This window comes from Homo sapiens, chromosome 22 (genome assembly GCF_000001405.40).
Source record: "Homo sapiens chromosome 22, GRCh38.p14 Primary Assembly".
Classification (NCBI taxonomy): Eukaryota; Metazoa; Chordata; class Mammalia; order Primates; family Hominidae; genus Homo; species Homo sapiens.
In genome coordinates, this window is record NC_000022.11 from 26,989,221 (window position 1) to 27,011,738 (window position 22,518).

At 45.2% G+C, this 22,518-nt stretch overlaps 1 long non-coding RNA gene across 1 annotated transcript, besides 1 other annotated feature; it reads left to right on the top strand.

Moving 5' to 3' along the window:
- Positions 1,679–1,838: an enhancer, noted in NCBI's record as "active region_18801". NCBI's record gives its function as "activates an Ori minimal core promoter by ATAC-STARR-seq in GM12878 lymphoblastoid cells {active_cell/tissue: GM12878}" and the evidence as "EXISTENCE:reporter gene assay evidence [ECO:0000049][PMID:35858748]".
- On the top strand, positions 8,916–13,526 carry LOC107985582 (uncharacterized). Its single transcript, XR_001755472.2, has 2 exons — positions 8,916–8,966; positions 12,936–13,526. It is a non-coding gene; the product is annotated as an uncharacterized LOC107985582 (long non-coding RNA).
- Positions 13,527–22,518: the final 8,992 nt, after the last annotated feature.

The window sequence follows — 22,518 nt, forward strand, 5'->3', positions numbered from 1 at the left end:
ATGAGGTAACTATCACGTGTCCCCCACCTCACCTTACTCCCAAATCTTTTTTCTCATTGCTATGGAGCCTGAAGGCCCTCTTACCAGACTATCACGCTAGGTCACGAAGATGTGTCATGGAGTTTGGGGACCTTTTCATTGGTGTATGTGCATCACAGGGTATGATTCATGTGGATCTTTTTTGCTATTGGGTACACAGAGACTGGCATAGTGCCTGGCCTGGACACATGTAGGGGCCTCATAATTATCTGTTGAATGAATGAGGGAATACATTTTTACCTGGAGAAGGAGCTGCAAGCCTAGAGAGGCCAGCTGCCAAGCCTCCTTCCCTGGCTCCTTCCCTGAAGCCTGTGATATTTAATTAATATGAGCCAAGCAGAGCCCACTTTATGGTGCTGGCCCAGGGGCCACCCATAATTGAGAAATGATAGGAGGCACCTGTGACTTGACCTTGGCTAATGATGAATGGACCCATATAGAGACCAGGAGCCAAGGATTCATGGGCTGGAGCATCCATCCAGAGAGCACATGTGGAAGAAAGGGAAAAGAGATGTTTGTAGCCCTGGTCTGTGATCTCAGAAAGTGGAACAGCTCCTGTGAAATTCTGATGATAGCATTTCCCAGGGGGAACATGCAGAGGTGTTGAGGGCTTGCCAGAAGCCAGGCTGTGGCTGAGCACTTTACAAGGAGCCTTAGAATGACAGTAGGTGCTGGTGTTCTTTATGGGGACTTAGTACATATCTGTTTGTTGAGTAAATAAATGAAAGAATCGAGGGATGCTTTGTAGGGAAGCAGAATAGAAATAGCATCTCACCAGGTGAAGGGGAATGAGCCTTAGACTAGTGCAGCCCTCTCTGCTCCTGCCTTTTGGCTCTGGTGATGTTTTGGGGGTGAAGAGGAGCTCTATGTTGCAGACTCCAGTCTGGGGTCAGCTCGTCTGCTTCCCTGGCTCCAGCATCTGAATCCTCAAAGATACAGCCCCCTTATTTCCCTCCCAAGGGAAGAGGGCTCTATTTGAGGGAGATGCTGCCATCATTTCCATCTCCAGAGAAGCAGAATCTTCGGGGCCTTAGGTATCCCCCACCTGTGCTGAGCAATGTTCTGGCACAGAAAGGAACACCAGAGGCCCTTTCACACCCTCCAGAGGAGACATTGCACTTGCCAAAGGTATAAAAGATGGAAATAGAATTCAGGTAACAAGGCTCTGGTGGGTGGTGGTGGGGCCTTCAGCAGGGAAGACATTTGGCTCCAGCCACAAGGTCACAGAAGCGTGGACCTCCTATGACCAAGAGGTGAATGCAAAACGACAAGATTGCAGAAAACAGTGCTTTAGAGTTGATAGGGCATTTTTCAAATCCAGCATGGAGAGAAGAAAAATACAATTTTAATGTTTCTATGAATGGAGGCACCAACTGCTGCTTGGAGAGCAGAAGCTGCCAGCCGAGGGCTCAGGGCTGAGCAGTATCAGCACTGAGCACCGAGATTCAAACCACGGTTCCAGGCCAATGCTCTGCTCTCTTCCCCCAACCGCTCTCCACCCCTTCTGAGCCCTCAGGAGAGAAAGAGAGAAAGAGAGAGAGAGAGAAGAGAGAGTACACATCTCACCCTCTCTCTCTTTTTAATTTTGGTAAAATACACATCACATAAAATCTACAATTTTAGCCATTTTTAAGTGTACATTTCAGTGACATTAAGTACATTGTTATGCAGCCATCACCACCATCCATCTCGAGTACTCTCTACATCTTGCAAAACTGAAACTCTGTACCTATAAAAAGATAACCCCATTCGCTCCTCCCTACCTTCCAGTTTCTGACAACCACCATTCTACTCTGTGAATTTGACTCCCCTAGGTACCTCATATAAGTGGAATCATTTGGTATTTATCTTTTTGTGACTGGCTTATTTCACTTAATGTCTTCAAGGTTCATCTATGTTGTGACTGTATATCAGAATTTTCTTCCTTTTATTGCTAAACAATATTCCACATATATGAGTTGCATGGATATATCACATTTTGCTCATTCATTCATCTGTTGATGGACAGGGTTTATTTCCATGTTTTGGCTATTGTGAATATATTGCTATGAACATCGGAGTTCAAATATCTCTTTGAGATACTGCTTTCCATTCTGTAGGGTATATAACCAGATGCAGAATTTCTGGATGACAAGATAATTTTTGTTTAACTTTTTGAAAATCTGCCAGACTGCTTTCTGCAGCAGCTGCACCCTTTTACATTCCCACCAACAGTGCAGATTTCCGGTTTCTCCGCATCCTCGCCAACACTTGTTATTTCCTTTCTTTCTTTTTTTTTTTTTAATAGTGGCCATTCTAATGGGTATGTGGTGGTATCTCATTGTGGTATTGATTTGCATTTACCTAATGTATAGAGGATGTTGAGCATTGTTTTCATGTGCTTGTTGGCCATTTGTAAATCGCCTTTCCATGTGATGCAGAGAAAAGAGCCCATCTTTTAAGAGTCCAAAAGGTCCCCTGCTAGCCTAGTCACGGCTCAACCTTTAACTTCTTCACTGTGTGACTTTGCAAAAATGGCTTCACCTCTCTGGGCTCCAGTTTCTTCATTGATGAAATAAAGAAAATTATGCATGCCCATGGGGGCCAACATGAGGACTTGAGGAGGGTTTAAGATTCTAGTTTCTAGCTCATATGAAACCCTTAATGAATGCTAATTCATTTACCTCCATAGTTCATCTTCTTTTGAAGTTGGGATGCTGGTGATTGACTAGGGGTGCAGTATCTCTGTGAACTGGCCTCAGTGACCAGCCAGAGGCACAAACAGGCATTCAGGGAAAGGGTGATTCTGACCTATGTCTTTGCTTTTTTAAAGAATGGGCTTGAGGCTTGCACCATATCCAGTTTGGCCACTCCAGTGCTGTGCCGGTGGCTCACCACCCAGAATTTGTGGTTCTTTGAGGGCTGGAGTCATGCCCTGTTCCTTTCTCTGTTACTCCATAATGGCTAGCATTGTAGATAAAGCAAAGACTGTCTAATTGTTCAGCACACTAATTTTCCATTGCATCTAGACCTATAGGAAGGCCGCATTTCCAGCCTCTCTTGCTGTGGGTTGGGGCCATCTTACTGCGTTCTGGCCATGGTCATTATGAGAAGGGTCAGTGGTGAGGGGGCTGCCATACCCACTCGGTCATAAGGACTTACAGCTGAGGCCCATCCTGTTCCACTCCCTGCCTGGATTGTGCTTCTGACTCCCTGAGCAGTTCTACCTCCCACCAGAAGCAGCCTCTGATTACAGTCACACTGTCTCCAAACCACCCTGACCAGGCAAAGGACTGTAGCCCAGTGGTTTCGAAACCCAGGTCTACTACTGCCTCACTGTGTGAACTTGAACATGAGCACTCACTGAGCCTGCTGCTTCCCTTGTAAAATGCGTGTGATTAAAATTCCCACTTTGTTGGGTTGCTGTGAAGTTGAAACAAGATTATGCCTAACATGCTGACAATGATGACATTTCCCGGGGAACCCAGTTAGTCTCTAGAAGGTCAGCATCTGTAAAATAATCTTGGTGAATCACTGTGGAATATCAAGTGCTCCCTGTCACACCAGGGGCAGCCTTGGGAGAATGGGGATCAGCAAACTACAGCCCATGAGCCAAATCTGGCCCACTGCCTGTTTTTGTGCATAGAGTTTTATTGGAACACAGTCACACTCACTTGTTAGTATATGACTGTTCATTAATGTAGGGCTGCTTTTGCAATATGATGGCAAAGGTGAGTAGTTGCAACAGAGACCTTGTGGCCCTTGAAGCCTAAAATATTTCTCATCTGGCTCTCTACAGTGAGATTTTGCTGATCCTTGGTGTAGAACAATATGAGCACTGGCACTTATAAGACCAGAGTTCGAAACTCGCCTTTGCCTTCCTTGGCTGTGTGGTGTTGACACATATTACGTAAAACCACCGTTCCTCATTTGCCAAATTGAAGTGATAAATTTACACCATAGAATTGTGGGGGTGATGAGATAAGATGTTTGTGCAAAATGCTTCTCACTGTGTCTGCATGCAAGAAGAACTCAAGGAACCTTCAGGCTTTAGCTACTGTGTGTCACAGTCCCTGGTATCCAGTGAGTGCTGAATATGTTCCTGTTGCCTCATGCAGGAATCTTCCCCATCATCTCTGCCTAGGCAGAGGTTGGGGACCTGATCTCTGCTACAGAGTAGTTAGTTTCTGGCCCCATGGTGGGCACTCAGCAACGGCAACTAAAATGAGTCCACTTAGCCCTTCAAGGCTCAAAGCAAATCCACCAATTCAAAAGCTGCTGTTGGCCTGGGCATGGTGGCTCATGCTTATAATCCCAGCATTCTGGAAGGTGGAGGCAGGTGAATAGCTTGAGCCCAGGAGTTTGACACCAGCCTGGGCAACATGGCAAGACCCTGCTTCTACAAAAAATGCAAAAATCAGCTGAGCATGATGGTGCACACCTATAATCCCAGCTACTCGGGAGGCTGAGGTGAGAGGATCACTTAAGTCCAGAAGGCAGAGTTGCAGTGAGCCAAAACTGCACCACTGCACCCAGTCTTGGCGACAGAGAGAGACTCTGTCTCAAAAAAAAAAAAAAAAAAAAAAAAGCTGCCCTTAAAACCAGAGTGGCGGCACTTTTCTGTCCTGTTGCCCTGTACTCTCTGCTCAACTGCCATCACACTTCCTGTAAGTGATGGAAAGAAGTCAGTCAGAGGAAAAAGACAGATTGAGTGCCTCCGTGGCCCTGGCATTTCCCTGCAGATCTCTGGATTTCCATATATTTGAAAACCTAATATAAACAACAGAGAAGAAATTTGCATTTCGGGCAGCAAGGAATGAAAAATTGAGGCGGTGTAACGTATTGCTGAGCCAGAAAGAGGGATGACCGTGGTGAGTCCAACCTCTTACGACAGACCCAATAGGCCAGTGGTAAACTCATTTCCTGGCAGAATATAGGGTTCATCTGTTGGAACATTTAACAGGCATCAAAGAAAGATCGCTTCCACCTCTCTCGCCCGAGATGCCGCGCTCCTGCCTCTCTTCTTGCCATTTTATTAAACCCCTTTATGTGGTTTTAATACAATATGTATGATCCACATGGAGACAAATAAATTCTTATGTACTTTTCAGGATTCGGAGTGTTCTAATGGTTATGTATGCTTTATTTATATTTTCTGAGAGACATTAAAAGGACGATGTGTAAAAATACGCAACCCAAACCAATGGTGATTTATGGTTACTCATGGAATGATGGCAAAATGGAAAGTTATGAAGTTAATTTCCGGATGTGTGGCGGTGGGGAAGGGGACACTATAGCCTGCAGTAGTGGCAAAGGTCTTAGTTCTGGCAAAGGCTGGATTTGGTGGGAAATTTGTCATTGGGATGATCATAGCTCTAAGGCCTTTTTTGGAAGCAGTGTAAAGCCAGTGGGAATATTAAGGGTGTTTCTTTTGATGCTGGAGATGGGGAAGGGCTGCCCAGACAGGTTAAGTCAGTTTTCTAAAGTCACACAGCAAGGGATGGCAGAGCTAGGATTAGAAGTCCTTATGTGGTTCCTCCTTTGGGTGTCACAAAGCTGCTTAAGCATCTGCCACAGGTTTCATAATGCCTCTGGTGGCCTCTAAGTGGTAGGAAGACAGCCACAACTCTAAAATGGGCAGACAAGGGCAATCTGAAGTCCCTCTTTGACCTTCTTCTAGCATGCCACACCAGGGCAGAGTAGAACCAGCACGTGCGGAAACACTGGAGCTAAGATCTATGCGAGTGGCTCTGGGAATCCACTCATGGGGGCATTGGGGATCTGGAAGCTGGCAGTGCCACCCACTTCATGGACCAGACAGGCATGAATTTACCTATGGCACTTGGCTGGAGATGTTGGTTTACTGGGAGCCTGGAGGGTGAAGGGATTCGGGGAACTCATACTGAAACAAGTTCTCCCCTTTCCTGCTGGACTTCCCCCACACTCTGCCCTTCAAATCTGATGTCCACTCAGCTCTTGATGTTGGAGTCAGTGATTCTGCAGAACAAGTGTTTAGAGCCTAGGCTGCCTGGGTTCAAACTTCAGCCTCACTGCTTAGGAGGGCTAGCTGCTTAACTTCTCCGGGGGCCTCATTTCCTCACCTGTGTAGAGGGATGATGACTCTTACTCTGGAGAAGTGTTGGGAGCTGGCGATAGTCCAATGCACAGAAGGAGCTTAGCAACGCATTCCCAGTCCAAATAAATGCTGGCTTTCATCACTGCTGTTATGTTCCACCTGTTTCTGGACCTCAGTTTTCCCATCTGCACAATAAAAGAACTTAAAGAGTTGATCTGAAACTCCCTAGGCTGTGTCCTGGACTTTAACAGGGCAATCCCAAAATCTGGCAGCTCCAACATTCACTAATGCTTGTGGGATGATATTTACAAGGGGTCCTTCTACTTTTTGGCTTGATGTATCAAAAGCTCTAAAAACATTCATTTCCTTTGATTCAGCAGCTTTTACTTCTGGAAGCTTTTACCTTAGAGGATTAATCATGGGCATATGCAAAGCATTAACTACAAGCATTTCTGTTGTGTTGTTTAACATAGAGAAAATTGGAAGTGACCCAAATGGGAACAATGGGGAACAGGTTAAATCCACTGTGATGTAGCAGTAGAAGATCCAGGGGGCTAATTGGGCACTTACTGTATGCCCAGCCTAGGATGAGCACTTGACACTTTTGCATTGTGCTTAATCCCAAAATCACATTGATAGGTTGTGATTAGTTTGGCCACAAGGGAGCCAAGCTCAGAGAAGTAAAGCACCCACTCTGGCAAGTGGCAGAGCTTGGAGCCAACTTGAATTTCTGACTCCAAACCTGGCCTCTCTCACCACACCACGTTCCTCAGGTTGATGTCAGGAAAGTGGCTCCAAGGAAAAAGGGCTCCTTAATGACTGGCGCGCATGGAGTCACCTGTGAGTTACAGGCTTTGAGACCATGAGAACACAGCAGTGTACTTAAACTTCTATGAAGCCACCATGTGTGACTTGATGTCAATTTTATCATTGTGTGTTTATGAATTTGCCCTGGACCACCTTGCTATGGTTTTTATCTGTGGGAAACATTTACCTTTTGTTTACTCCAATGTCAGTTTTTAGGTTCTAAGATTATGATGACTCAGCATCACGTTTATGTTCCTACTTTTCATCCATCCCTCTCAATGTGTGTAGATGCTCATCTAACCACCAACTCACTCCTTCACTCATCTGTCCATTACCCATCCCTCAGTCCATCCATCCATCCATCCATTCATCCATCCATTTGCCCATCTACCTGCACATTCGTCCTTCCTTTTATTCACTCATCTACTCACCCATCCATCTACACAATCACCCATCAACCCATTCACCAATATACCTGCCCATCCATCCATCCATCCATCCATCCATCCATCCATCCATTCATCCATCCATATATTCCTCCATTCACCCATCTATCCCTCTGACCATCCATCCACCCATCTTTCTATTTATTCATCTATTTGATTGATTGGTTTCTTCATTTTTCATTTATTCATTAAATCATCAAATATTTATTGAATAACTCCTAGGTACTAGGCACTGTGCTAGTCACCAGGGTTACAGAAATGAACAAGCCAAACACAGCCTCTGCCTTGAAGGATCTTGCAGACCAGTAGGGCTGTTGAATGAGCAAGCAAATTATTGTGATCATTTGCCAGTCAATAAAGATTTATGTTATTCTGCTTTATTTTTCTCCGTAGCATTTATCATGCACTGCCAGGACACTGTATTTTACTGCTTATTTTTTGTCACCCCACATGCTAGCTCCATGAAGTCAGGAATTTTGTTCTGTGATTACTGTATCTTCCACTCTAGGTGAGTATCTGCTCAACACACAATTAATTAATGACAAGATGAGTATATGGAGTAGACTGAAGCTGATGTGATCTTGGCCTTGCCAAGCTCATTGTGTCTTGGGAATTCAGATAATGATCAAATTATTAGAAAAATGATGTCAGTTTGGAGGAGACGAACAGTGCAATAAAAGTCCCCAATAGAGATTTTGAGTCAGTCTGAAAGTTTCGGGAAGGGGTCAGAGTTTTCCAGGTGAAGGGGTACCTGTATGTGTGCAGGTAGGGCACACATACAGGAAACAGGATAGATAAGGACTTTGAGATGCAAAAGAGCCTTTAAAATAATCAGATTCTACCCATGTACGTAGCACTTTCCAGTTGGTGAAACATTTTTCTTCTCTATGGTCCTTTTGTATGCAAAGCACATTTATGTGGCAAGACAACTGTTTTCTCTCTCTCATATTTCTGGATAGAGAAACTGAGGCCCCAGAAAAAAGTCCCATGGCAGAGTGAAGCCTCATGCCTTGACTGCAGTGCTGGATGGCCATGTGGCCCTGCTACTCATCATGGTGATCATTGGGCTGGAACATAGAATATGGTTACTTTACCTTCATATTGGGTGAGATAACTATCGAATGTATTGTAGGTTGGTGAGTGAGCTCTGCTTCCAGGTGAGGTGGTGGTGATGTGAACACTGACTCTGGGGCCAAGCGGATGGGTTCACATCCCAGCTCTACTAACTCCTCTCTTTCTTCTCAGGTACAATTAACTAAAAAGTGGAATGAACTCACGCCTGTAATCCCAGCACTTTGGGAGGCTGAGGTGGGTGGATCATGAGGTCAGGAGTTTGAGACCAGCCTGGCCAACATGGTGAAACCCCGTCTGTACTGAAAATACAAAAATTAGCCAGGCTTGGTGGCACATGCCTGTCGTTCTGGCTACTCGGGAGGCTGAGGCAGGAGAATCGCTTGAACCTGGGAGGCGGAGGTTGCAGTGAGCCAAGATCAAGCCACTGCACTCCAGCCTGGGTGACAGAGTGAGACTCCGTCTCAAACAAACAAACAAACAAACAAACAAACAAACAAACAAACAAACTAAGGAACGAAAGTGGAATGAAGACCTGACACCCATGAGTAAGTCCTCAGTAAATGTTAAGATTTCCTCCCAAAATACTGACAGAACCTACTCTCTGCAGCCCCTGTACTATGATCTAGGGATGCACTGATAACGAAGACCAGATGTTATTATTGTTTATACACCAGTAGGCTGTCTAGGAAACCTCTCTTCCTGATGTTTCCCAAGGCAGATGTCACCACGTCCTTTCCATGAAGGAGCTACAATTGTTGCATAACTTTGCTCAAATTTTTGGATCACCCTGGGGTTTGGTTTCCCCATATCTTTAGTTACTTCTCCAAGCCAGACATTCAAGATTACCTGACTCTGAGTGACCCCATGATGGCATGGGACCTCATGGCTGACACACCTACCAATGCCCAGAGCCCTGGAGGAAGAGCAAGCCCACTTCTGATCACACAATGAAATTGGGGGCTTTCTGCAGAAGACTTTAATCCTGCAGAGGCTGACAGTCCCAAAAACGAGCTGACAAGGAGCAATTTATTTGAGACTGTCCTCAAAAGAGAGAATAAGGCTAGTTTGTAGGAAACGTGCCCAGACATCTGAAGGCACATTTCCAAGATGGTACTTCCTGCTGGAGGCCCTGGGTGATATGAGGCCACCTCTCTGGCCTGCTTTGAGGGTCCACCTGGCACTGGGAAGTGAGGCACCAGGAACCCACCTCTCTTGCTTTTAGGCTAGTGCTGGAGTTGCGTGTTTGCTGTGAATCACTTACAAAACTTTCTTGAGACATCAGCATGTTGTCTTGGAGCAGAGAGTTTCTTATGGAAATTCTAGTAGCTGGGAAAAAAAACTCCTAATGTTTCCTTCCTTCCTTCCTTCCTCCCTCCCTCCCTGCCTCCCTCCCTCCCTTCCTTTTTTGACAGAGTCTCGTTCTGTCGCCCAGGCTGGAGTGCAGTGGTGTGATCTCGGCTCACTGCAAGTTCCGCCTCCCAGGTTCATGCCATTCTTCTGGCTCAGCCTCCTGAGTAGCTGGGACCACAGGCGCCCGCCACCATGCCTGGCTAATTTTTTGTATTTTTAGTAGAGACGGGGTTTTACCCTGTTAGCCAGGATGGTCTCGATCTCCTGACCTCGTGATTTGCCCCCCTCAGCCTCCCAAAGTGCTGGGATTACAGGTGTGAGCTAAGAAACCCAGGAGTAGAAAAAGAGGGCTTTCATGTGAATTACTCCCCCTCTTTGGAACATCTAATGAATCAGTCAGCAGGTCCTGTCAGTTCTGTCTCCAGATTCACCTCTGGATATCTCTAGGGTCTGAGCCCAACTCACTATCTGCGTTGCTCCACTCCAGCCCAAGCCACTATCATTTCACTCCTGGGAGGCAGTGAGTCTCCCACCGGATCTCTGTGCTTATTCTACTCCTGCCTCCTGCCCCTGCCTTTTCTCTACCAGCACAGTGGAACACTCCTCTGAAACAACATAACTAGGATCCTGTCTTCCACCTGTTAAAATGCTTCAATGGCTTCCTGTGGATGGAGTCCCACATCCTGCCCCTGACCCAAAGACCAGTACTTCTTATCACCGAACTCCTAACATCATTCTGATTCCACTTCCCCTTGCTTCCTGTGCCCCAAGTACCTGAGTATTCTTTTATTTCCTTGAATATATCAAGACTGTTCCTACCCCAGGACCTTCTCAAATGCTACTTATTCTGGGAGGGGATGCCCTCCCCTCCTAAACTGTGACCATCTTTCAAATCTCAGCTTCACCATCACACCCCTTCAAGTACGTTCCCTATAGTAGCAACCAGTCCATGAATCTTTCATAATAGTTAGAACTATTTACAACTATATTTTGCTTTTTTTTTTTTTTTTTTTTGAGACGGAGTCTCGCTCTGTCACCCAGGCTGGAGTGCAGTGGCCCGATCTTGGCTCACTGCAACCTCCGCCCCCCAGGTTCAAGCAATTCTCCTGCCTCAGCTTCCCAAGTAGTTGGGACTACAGGCACCCGCCACCGCCACTCCTGGCTAATTTTTGTATTTTTAGTAGAGACCATGTTTCACTATGATGGCCAGACTGATCTCAAACTCCTGACCTCATGATCTGCCTGCCTCGGCCTCCCAAAATACTGGGATTACAGGTGTGAGCCACCGCACCTGGCCTATATTTTGTTTACTTTTTTACCTTGTGTTTTATGTACTGGACTACAAGCTCCATGAAGGCAGGAATCACATCTGGTCTGCCCACTGCTGTCTCCCCAACTCCAGTTTTCAAGCTTTCATTTTTTATCATGAACATAAGAACAATGCTGCCCTAATCATTTGCATCATTATGAAGGGGGCTAATGATCCAAGGCCTAGGTGAAATTGTGGATGTGGAAATGTTTTCACAGGTTTCAATGACCCATGGTATGAAGGGGAGGTGCGGGCGGATTTTCTGAGAGCATAGTGATCCTGTGACCCCTATTTGCTGAGGAAGCTCTGAGTTCAAGAAAATGACTTCAGTCTAGCAGGGGAAAAAAGAGCCCAGCCTTTGGAGTTGAACTAACTTAGGTCAAATCTATTTTCTGCTTTCTTACCACCTATGTGCCCATGAGCAAGGGACTTTGGTTTTTCTCCTGTGTCAAATGGAATAATGGTGTCATTAGGGTATTTGGGGGGTTAGTGGGTGGAGCTTCATGAGGAGCCATAAAACAATCTCAATACCCATCCAGTGTCAGTGTCCTTGTGTTGTCTTGATCCTCAAGATGACCCAACATTTGAGTCCATGGACATGGTCCTCGCATCTATCTATAAGACCTTGAAGACCTCTCCCCACTCTAAAGTTCATGGAAATCATACTAATAAAGTGACTTTAAAAAACTCGAAGTCCAACCTAGATGTCCATAAAAGGAAGAAATGTGGTATGCCGCCTCAAAGTGGAAAAGGAATTCGGAAGTCAAGCACGCTTCTTTTAAATCTGTCTCCTCTCCAACCTGTCCCCTCCCCAACCTGTCCCCTCCCAGTGGTGAAACCAACAACTCACTGTGCCCTGCAATATGAAAAGCTCATGATGGAAGGCAGTTGAGTCTATTGCAAGCTTGTCCAACCCATGGCTTACAGGCCACATGTGGTCCAGGTCGGCTTTGAATGTGGCCCAGTACAAATTTGTAAACCTTCTTAAATAATTTTTATAGATTTTTTTGTATTTTTTTTTTTTTTTTTTTTTTTTTTGCTCATCAGCTATCGTTAGTGTATTTTTAGTGTGGCCCAAGATAATTATTCTTCTTCCAATGCGGTTCAGGGAAGCCAAAAGATTGGACACCCCTGGCCTAGTGATTAAGTAAGCACGGCTGCTCTGCCACTTCAGAGCTGTGTGACTGTAAGAGGTGGAATGGCACCCCTAAAATATATGTGTCTCTGGAACCTCAGAATGGGGCGTTATTTGGAATAGAGCATTTGCAGATGTAATTAAGGTAAGAATCTCCCGATGATATTATCCTGGATTAAAATGAGCCCTAAACCTAAATTTATGTTGGGGCTCAGAAGGCCACACCCCGAAGACTGGCGCTTTGACACGCAGAGAATCAAACTCAGAATCGAACTCCCTCCCACCTTTTTTTTTCTCTCCTACCCCAAGCCCAGGAAGGGACTCTCTCTGGAATTTCCTTATCTGTCTGAAAAAGCTTCTTTCCAAAAGAAACACAATTGCCTTCCTCCCCTTTCTGAAATCTCATTATCTATCTTAGAAAAGAAGACCAAGGAGTGCAATCATACCTGGAGGGACTTTTTCACAAGATAATGTCTGTCTCTAGGGCTCATTCAAATTTACAAGTTAATTTCTGTCCCTTCCTTACCCCTAATAATCACTAGCTGACCCTCGAAAGTATTATAGACATTCCCTAACTCCCTCTGCCCCTATGGAACAGGGTACATAAGCTTCCCTACCTCATTAGGTTATTGGGGAATCATTGTCTTGTGATTCCCCTGTGTTTTGTGCATTAAAGTAAATTTTGTGTGCCTTTTCTTCTCTTCATCTGCCTTTTGTCAGTTAACTTTCAGGGAAGATTCAGAGGGCGAAGAGGAAGTTTTCTCTTTGCCCCTACACTTAGAAGAGAAAGGAAGAAGGGAAGACAGTGACCCAGAGGAGAATGTTATGTGAAGATGGAGCAGAGACTGGGGTCACCAGCCTACAAGCCAAGGACTGCTGCTGCCCCCAGAAGCTAGGAGAGAGACGTGGTACAGATTCTCTCTCAGAGTCTCCAGAAGGAACCAACTCTGCTAACTCCTTGATTTCCAACTTCTAGCCTTCAGAACCGTGACAGTGTAAATTTCTGCTGTTTTAAGCCTCCTAGTTTGTAGTATTAGGTCGGTGCAAAAGCAGCTCTGGTTTTTGCCATTAAAACCACAGTTGCTTTTGTGCCAACCTAATACTTTGCTATGGTGGCCCTAGGAAACGAATGCTGTGACCTCAGCCAACTTGGTTAGACTTTTCAACCTCCCTTTCTTCGTCTATAAAGTGGGCATCTTGTAGACTTTATTCTTGAGAGGCATTGAAAAATTAAGAAAAATCCAGCCTGCAGACTATTGGGGATATTGCCTGGCACATAGTTGGTGCTCAATAAATTGTAGTTATTATTAATTGTTGTTAATACTGATGAGTCTTCTCTTGAGCTCCTTCTAGCTTAAACCAAAACAGTTCCTTGCCCTCCCTTTAGCAAGAAAATAGCCTCCCTGGAAAAGGCAGGGAGTGGGGGTGGGGTGGGAGGGAATGGAGTGCCCTTTAAGTTGGCCATGACAGTAAAGAGGACACTGATCTCCCTCGTTGTCAATCCTAATGCCCTTGCCCCTACTTCCATTTCAGCAGCCACCATTACATACCTCTGTATCATTGACATTTCTCTAATAATCTTTGACCCATTCATTCTCAGAAAGAGGAACAGTTTTATTTTTCAGGAACAATACTAGGGAGCAGTTTTAAAAATGCAGTGCTTGCTGATAAATGTTAAGGACTCATCTCCTGGCCTCTCTCTCCTTCTCTTTCTATCTCACTCTTGCCCTGTCTCTTTCTCTATCTTCCCCTCCTTGCCTCTCTCCTCCCTCTTTTCTTCCCCCTCCCTCTTTTTATTGGAAATGGCTATCCTTCAAAGATTTAACAGATTTGTAAAAATCATGCCTCCAAAAGGCTACCATTTAATAGGAGCACTCAGAGGACAGCGTGTGGGTGAGAAGCAGCACCATAAATTGAACATCGCCAGCCCACGGTGCGCCAGCTCAGGGCGGGCCCAGAGTCATAACTTTCTCCTCTTCCCCTCCCTACCCTCCAATTCCATGGCCTTTGCCAACACCATTCTATTTTCAGGAAGGCTTCCTTGACCCGTGGGTCCTTCAGCCACAACAGAGGTGGTGCCGACTGGAATCCAGGCATGAAATTATGAAAGAATGGGGCTGCTGCTGACTCCAGTTGTGCACTGGCCTCAGATGTGAAATTGCCATTTTTTTCTCCCCTGTCTCACTGGCCTGTCGCATGCGGGGCGGAAAAGATTGTATTTATCACCTGTCAGGATCTGCCAGAACTGAGTTACGTGAGGCAGGACAGCATAAAATTATCATACACAAGCATGAAATTACAAAATCGCTCGGAACTGAACAACAAAATTATTTCATTTCGGAGGGAGGCCATTCCATTTTTTAGCCCTGACACCTTGACTGCCAAACTTTGAATGGAAATTGAGTGTGAGGGCCATGGAGTAGAGACAGCAATAACAAGAAGTAGCATGTAAACTAGCCATGCAGACACACAACATTAATGGTCCTCGAAACCTCCCACCAGAGATATGTAACTAAATAAATGTCACATGTCCCAGTGACTCAACTTGCCTTCCACAACTAGAAATGACTTAGGCCAGTGTTAAAGCCTAGGTCCAATATCTAGGGGTTTCTGGGAGAAACTGGGTCTGGGTTGGTTCTCCTAATCCACAGAGCGATATCCCGATGAAATAGAAAGCTTGCAGGCTTTGGAGTCATGCATGCATAAGTTTGAATGCTGGCTCCAACATTAACGAGCTGTGTGACGTTGAGTGACTTTCTTAACCTGTCTGAGCCTCCATTTCCTCATCTGTGAAAATGAAGACAATCATTTCTGTTTCTTCAAGTTGTTGTGAGGACAAAAACAGCTCAGATATGGAGTCTGACGTATAGTAGGTTTTCAATATGAAGGTTGGGACAAGTGAATTACCTGCCCTCATCTTTCCCCCTTCAAAGTTTTTGTGCCATTTTTACACTCTGTGGTGAAAGCATTTATCCAACAAACTTTTGCTAAGCATGGAAAAAAAAACTGTCACAGTTAATTTGTGTTTAGATATAAAACAGAGTTAGGCTGGATTATTGATTTTTGTTCCCAATGTTTCAAGCTTCCATGTACCTCTGCCCTTTGCCATGTGACTTTGAGGCCCTTCCTACTAGAGGTGGGGCTTATTTCCTCATCCAGTTGTTACTGGGCTTGGTCATGTGACTTAATTTGACCAATGATCCCTGAGCAGACATAATGCAAAGGGAAGATTTAAATATACTGTGTGGTTTGCCTTGGCTTCTTGCAGTCCTGTTATTTGCATGAGAACAGCATGCCCCAGGTACATGCCGGTCTATGGAGGAAGAGAGAGAGGTGAAGCAGCCTAGAGTCAAATGCAGTCAATCTGTAGGGCTTCTGAGTAAGAAAAATAAATGCTTTTTGCCAGTAATTGAGATTTTTGGGATTATTTGTTACACAGCAAACACTGAGTAATAAAATAGCTAGACTCAGGTGTTTATAAACAAAGGTTTACCTTCATGAATGTTCTATAGAACATTTAAAATTTATGTGTGACTCAGGGTGATTCTTTAGTGAGTGCGAATTACAGTATGACTAGAGTCTCTGGCTTCTGCCACTTCAATATCAATGTTGACCTTTCAATATGGGAACTAGACAGTGAAGCTCTGCCTTACCAGACCACACATACTCTTCGTTATACACATTATAACCTCCACTTCACTATTCTGAATTGAAAATCATACATTTCATCTACATATACATGTAATTTCAAAAAAGTTAATATAATGCCCTAACTGTAAGGGAGGAATAAAATGAAAGCAATTTATAATAAAATAATATCTATTTTAATATGTAAATTATCAAAAACCACTATATGCCAGGAAACATGATGAAGCGGTCTGATGCTTGTGTCTACTTATAATGAGTAAGTTGAAATTTCAGACAAATATTCAATTGAATATTGTCGACATTTTTTTCTCTATTTTTGACATTTTGAAATAAGAGCTAAATTAGTATATTCATATATATGGGTAGTGTCACTGTGAATAGGACTGCAAAAGTCGACTGACACAGGTGTGCAGGCAGCAATTCACGTTCCACGATCAACTTTGAGGTCGATGCCTGGATTTTCCAAAGTGAAAAACAACTCTTGTTGGGGTTTTGGATAAAACAAAGTATTCCCTTCCCCCAATTTACACTGCAACTACATTCAAGGAAAATCCCATGTAAAGCAAATCTGTGCCAAAACATTTAGCTGTATGTAAGACGGATTTAAATTCTAGGCTCAGATAATTATTAAGGAGGAATTATATCTACATGAATGCCCAGAAGGGCACTCAAAATTCCTGAGGCACTTGGGGCCATTCTTCTTGCTGTGGGACTGTCTTGGGAATTGCATGTCCTGCATTGCTGATGTAATTCTCCCCAATTACTAGGACGGATCTTCTCAAAGTTAGTACCATTGACATCTTGGATCAGATCAGATTAAGTCGTTATTGTAGGGGGTTTTCCTGTGCATTGTGGGATGTTTAGCAACCTCCCCGGTTTCTGTGATGCCAGAAACATCTCCCCCTTAAGTTATGACAATCAAAAATATCTCTAGATATTGCCAATGTCTCCTGAGGGTGCAAAATATCCACTTGTTGAGCACCACTGGGATAAGATAATAGAAAATGCTTCACATCCTACATTCCTAAAATTCCCCTTAGGAGATGCTACTAACTCCATTAAGATACACTTGTCCAGGAAGCCCTGGATTTTATTGTATTATTTCATTCCAATACCAGAAATTGAGCACTTATGTTGTGTCAGGTGTCATTGATGTAGCAAGGAATATGACGATCTTTTAACTCTTTGGGTTCAAAGACTATCCTTCTGCCTCCCCTCTGCTGTCCTTGCTCACAGTGGGAAGATGGCCCCCCAGGGAGTTGGGAGCTGGGACTGGATTGTGGAAAGCCTTGAATGTCAAGCCAAGGAGTGGTCAAACCTCAGAATTAGGATGAATCTTAAGAAACGTCTGGTTGGCCGGGCGCAGTGGCCCACGCCTGTAATCCCAGCATTTTGGGAGGCCCAGGCGGGTGGATCATTTGAGATCAGGAGTTCAAGACCAGCCTATCCAGCAGGGTGAAACCCCACCTCTACTAAAAATACAAAAATTAGCTGGGTGTGGTGGCAGGTGCCTGTAATCCCAGCTACTTGGGAGACTGAGGCAGGAGAATCACTTGAGCCTGGGAAGTGAAGGTTGTGGTGAGCCGAGATTGCACCAATGCACTCCAGTCTGGGTGACAGAGTGAGACCCTGTCACAAAAAAAGAAACATCTGGTCCCCCAGTGGCCATGTCCACCAAAACAAGACCTTCTTCTGAGGTGATGGTGTCCCCTGTAGATCCCTTAAAAAGGAAAAAAATACAAGGGGAGAGTTAGGTTATTCCAAGATCAGATAGTAGAAGGGCGGGGGAAGAGGTGCAGAATTTAACTGCAGTCTGCGGCAGCTCCTTCTCATTTCCTTTCCCCTGCTGGGCTATGAGAGTTACTATCTTACAGAACTTTCTCAATCCCTTGCATGGCAAGGAGTATTATTCTCATTTTACAGATGATAACACTGAGCCTCAGGTAGGGAAAGTCATTTGCCAAAGGTCACTGAGCCTGTAAATGTCACAACTGGAATTTGAACCAAATTCCCCAGAGATTCGGCCAAGTGCTAGTACCTCTTATGTGGTGACTGGACGAGTCTCCTTAATGGTTTCATTGAGTCCATGTTAGTCACCCCACCTATTGGTCCTTCACTCCACAGCAGAGGGGTTTCAAAACGTACAGATCTGATGTGATGAAGTTAGTGCATACCTTTCTCTTCCACTGATTCTAGGGCTAAGCCCTAGAATGGCCACATCCACAATGGCCACAATGCCCTATGAGAGCTTCCTCCTGCTTATCTCTCCAAACCCATCTCTCTACCCTTCTTTTTGCTCAGTCTCTGAGCTTCAGGCATACAAGTTATCTCTTGGCAACTTGGGGCCTTTGTGTATGATATATTCCCTTTGCCTATTCAGATGCTTTTCACCTTCTGCTCTCCCAAACCTCAGATCAAGCATCACTTCTTTATGCAAGTCTCTTCCATCCCCATTTATATCCCCAGTCGTCTGGGTCAGGTCCATGTATTGTATATGCTCATACAACAGTGTTTCTTTCTATTGTATTATTAAATGTTAATCTATTCTCTTCCAGTAAACTTCCCACAAAAGCACCAGCTCAGCTTGCTATGGTCTTCTCATTCACTGGCTTACTGCATGGCACATAGTAGGTGCTCAATAAGTGTCTGATCGGTGAATGAATGAATGTCTGACTCAGATTCCTGTGCTTCATCTTCTGCTCCCACCACCTTAACATTTGTTTGGCATTGCCTTGAGGGGGTTTGCCACTCCTCTTACTCATTGGTGGGGTCCATGATAGCCCATCAGGGGGCATGGTGTCTGGAGTCTCACAGTAAATGGCTGTTGGCTTCAAGCTGTGCTGGACTACCAGCACCCATGAGGAGAGCTGCAGGCTGCAGTGGGGAAGCAACACTGTCATTTTGCAGAGTGCTAACAGCTACAGGTACCAGTCACAGGCCATTGCCCCCCAGCCTTCACCACGTAAATCCTCCACTAACGATTTGTATAAACTTCTGTTACATGTGTTATTTATCACTGCAAATAACTTCCACAGTGGGTTGGACTGTGTGCTTTGTGCATTCACACACACACACACCTCAGGGAAAAGCATGGGCTGAGTGGAGGAGGGGGTCCCGTAGTTAAACTGCCTGTGTAGGGCTCCTGGCTCTACCTCCCACTTATGAGCTGGGTGGCATTGGGCAAAATCCTACCCCTCGCTTTGCCTTGTTTTCCTCAACTGTTCTGTTGGGATAAGAATAGTGCCCACATCAAAGGGGACTGGAAGAATTAAGTGAGGGCAGATAAAGCCTCACATGGGGCTGGACACATAGTAAGCACTCAATAAAAATTAGTTGCCACCACCACCACTACCATCATCACCACCACTATCATCATGATCACCATCACCACATCATCATCACCATCATCACCATCACCATCATCATCACCACCATCATCACCATATCATCATCACCATCATCATCACCACCATCATCACCATCACCATCACCATCATCATTATCACCATCACCATCATCATCACCACCATCATCACCATCACCATCACCATCATCACCATATCATCATCATCACCATCACCATCATCAATATCACCATCACCATCACCATCACCATCATTACCATATCATCATCAGCAGCAGCATCATCATTATCACCATCACCATCATCATTACCACCATCATCAACATCGCCATTATCATCACCATCATCATCACCATATCATCATCATCACCAACATCATCATCATCATCTTACACAGGGACTCTAGGCAGCATCCCACTCCACGAGGCTGTAAGAGCAAGAGAGAAGGGATTCCATCTCCTGCTCATTTAAAGTCTCTAGCACACATCTCTGTCACACAGTAGGTGCTCAACCAGTATTAGTTAAATGAGATGAGACAGATTCAGGCTCAGAATCAGCTACAGCCCTAAGCCAGTTGCATAGAAGGGGCCAGATTCACGTGCCCTTATGCCCATTTTCTAGTCAGTGCAGATGGTGACCTACTCTGGCCAGATGAGTGACCTTGGCTAAGTCACCTCACCTCTCCCAGCCTTGGCTTCCTCATCTCAATCAAATTAAAAGGGGTGGTGGCTTCCTTTCACCATCCTCCTAGATTTTGGAAGACCAAGTGAGATAATGGATGTGGAGTTCACTCAGAGTCTGGCATGCAGTGAGTATCCAAAAAATGTTGGGTTCGAGCATTCATTCAATCAACAAACTTTATTGGGTGTTTCTATGTGCCAGACACTGTACTAGGCACTTGGGCACACCAGTGACCAAAACCCTGTCCTCAAGAGTTTTCATTCCAGCGGGAGGAGAAAAATATGAAACACAAGTTCTGAAAATTAATCTCACTATTGAAAAAAGAGTATGCTGAGGGGATCAACATGATGGAGCAAGGGGTTGCACTTATTGGTATGGTGGCCAAGGGAGGACTCATTGAGAAAGATGCCATTCAAACAGACTTGAAGAAGTCATGGATATATTTCCCAGTATCTGTGGGAAAGGCATTTAAGGCAGAGAGAACGCTTGTACAAAGTCCCTGAGGTGGGCATGTGCCTGTTCAAGAAACAACAAAAGTGAAGGAGTTGATTTGCCTGGGGCAGAGTGAGTGGATACAGGAGATGAAATCAATGAGTTCACATGGACCTAGACTGTGCAGTCTTGTGGGACATCATAAGGACTTTGGTTTTTACTTTTAGTGGGATGAAAGTCATGGGAGGCTCTTGAGTAAAGGAGTGCCAAGATTGGACTTAGATTTTGAAAGGATCACTTCTGCTTCCATAGCAGTGGAGAAAGAGCAGAAGCCAGGAGATCAGTTAGGAGGCCACTGCAGTGCCCGTGGCACAGGGCCATGGAGGCTGGGTGACACCTTGATACATCTTTGCTGGGGCTTCTCATGTCACCCTTCTTAGGGAAAAGAAACAGGAAGGCATTCAGCAGACAACACTCACTTCGGCTGTGAGAGCCATGCCCAGTTTGAGGATGGCCATTCCACACTGGGTGACACTGTCTCCCTCAGCACCTCAGATGTGCAGGACACCAACACTTTCTCCTTCCAAGCCCCAGTTCTGTCCATCTCATTCTGACTCCTTGCTGCTCCACACCTGCCTTGCCAAACCCCAGTTGTGTTTGGCAGCCTGTGTGAACCTTGGCTACCACCCACTAGCCACCTGGCCCGCAGCAGCCCTTGGGAACAGCAGCTGGCTGGGTATGTCCAGGGCCTGATCCTCCTGGGTCATTGGTCAGGGCTTTGGGCCACTTCTTCCCTGTATCAGTTTCTAGGGCTGCTGTAACAAAGTACCATAAACAGGGTGGCTTAAAATAGTAAAACTTTATTATCTAACAGTTCTAGAAGCCAGAAGCTCAAAATCAAGGTGTTGACAGCGCCATGCTCCCTCCACGCGCTCTATGGAAGAAACTTCCTTGCCTTTCCTGGCTTCCAGTGGTTGCTGGCAATCCTTGGCTTTCCTTGGCTTTCACAGGCATCACGTCAAATTCTGTCTCTGTCCTTACGGGGCTTTCTTCTGTGTATGTCTTGCCTTTGTACATCTACAAATCTCCATCTCCTTATAAGAACGTCAGTCATTGGATTTAGGGCCCACCGTAATCCAGTATGACCTCATCTTAAATTGGTTGCATCTACAAATATCCTATTTCCAAATAAGGCCACGTTCACAGGTACCAAACGTTGGAGTTTCAACATCTCTTTTTAGGGGCATGACTGTGGTTTGGTCTACCATCTCCTCTCAACTTCCTCACTGGTCTCCCTGCCATCAGCCTCTACCTCTCCTGTCCAGCCTCCTCCCTGCAGTCAGAAATCTCTCTAAACTATCTGAGAGTGCCACTTCCTTGCAACAAACCCTTCCATGCCCTCCCAATAAAGTCAGCACTCCTTAGCATGTCATTGAAGACCCTGTTGTTCTGGCCCTTGTAGACTCTCTCTTCTCCCTGTGTTTGGTCTCGCTAGTTTAGCTTGGTAGTTTTCACCACTGGCTGCCTATTACAGACAACTAGAAACTTTCAAAAAATGTCCATGCCTGGGCTCCTGGACTAATTAAAGTGGATACCTGGGATAGAGGCTGGTTGCTGTGTGCTGTGGAAACTCCCAGGTGATTCCAATGAGCAGTCGGGGCTGAGGACAACTGCTCTGGCTCTACCAGTGTTTCTCACACTGGAGCAAAACTCAGAACCCCCTGGAGGGCTTGTTACAATAAGGACTTCTACCCCTCAGAGTTTCTGATTCAACAGATCTGGAGTGGGGCCAGAGAGTTTGCATTTTTAACAAGTTCCCAGGCAATGCTAATGCTGCTGGTATACTGGAGTTTCTCAACCTTGGCACTATTGACATTTGGGCTGGGTGATTCTTTGTGGCGGGGGCTGTCTTGTGCATTGTGGGATGCTTAACGGCATCTTTGCCCTCAACTGTTAGATGCCAGTAGCACCCCTATCCCAATACACATACTTGTAATAATCTGAAATATCTCCAGACATTGCCAAGTGTCTCCTAGAGAAGAGGAGACAGAATTTCTCCACACAGTGGCACTGGGTAAGCACAGATGCCAGGCTGGGGCCAGACAGTGATCAGGGAAGGCCTTGGTGGTTGTGATAAATGACAGATAACTCTCATAAGTGTGACTGACATGGCCTCTC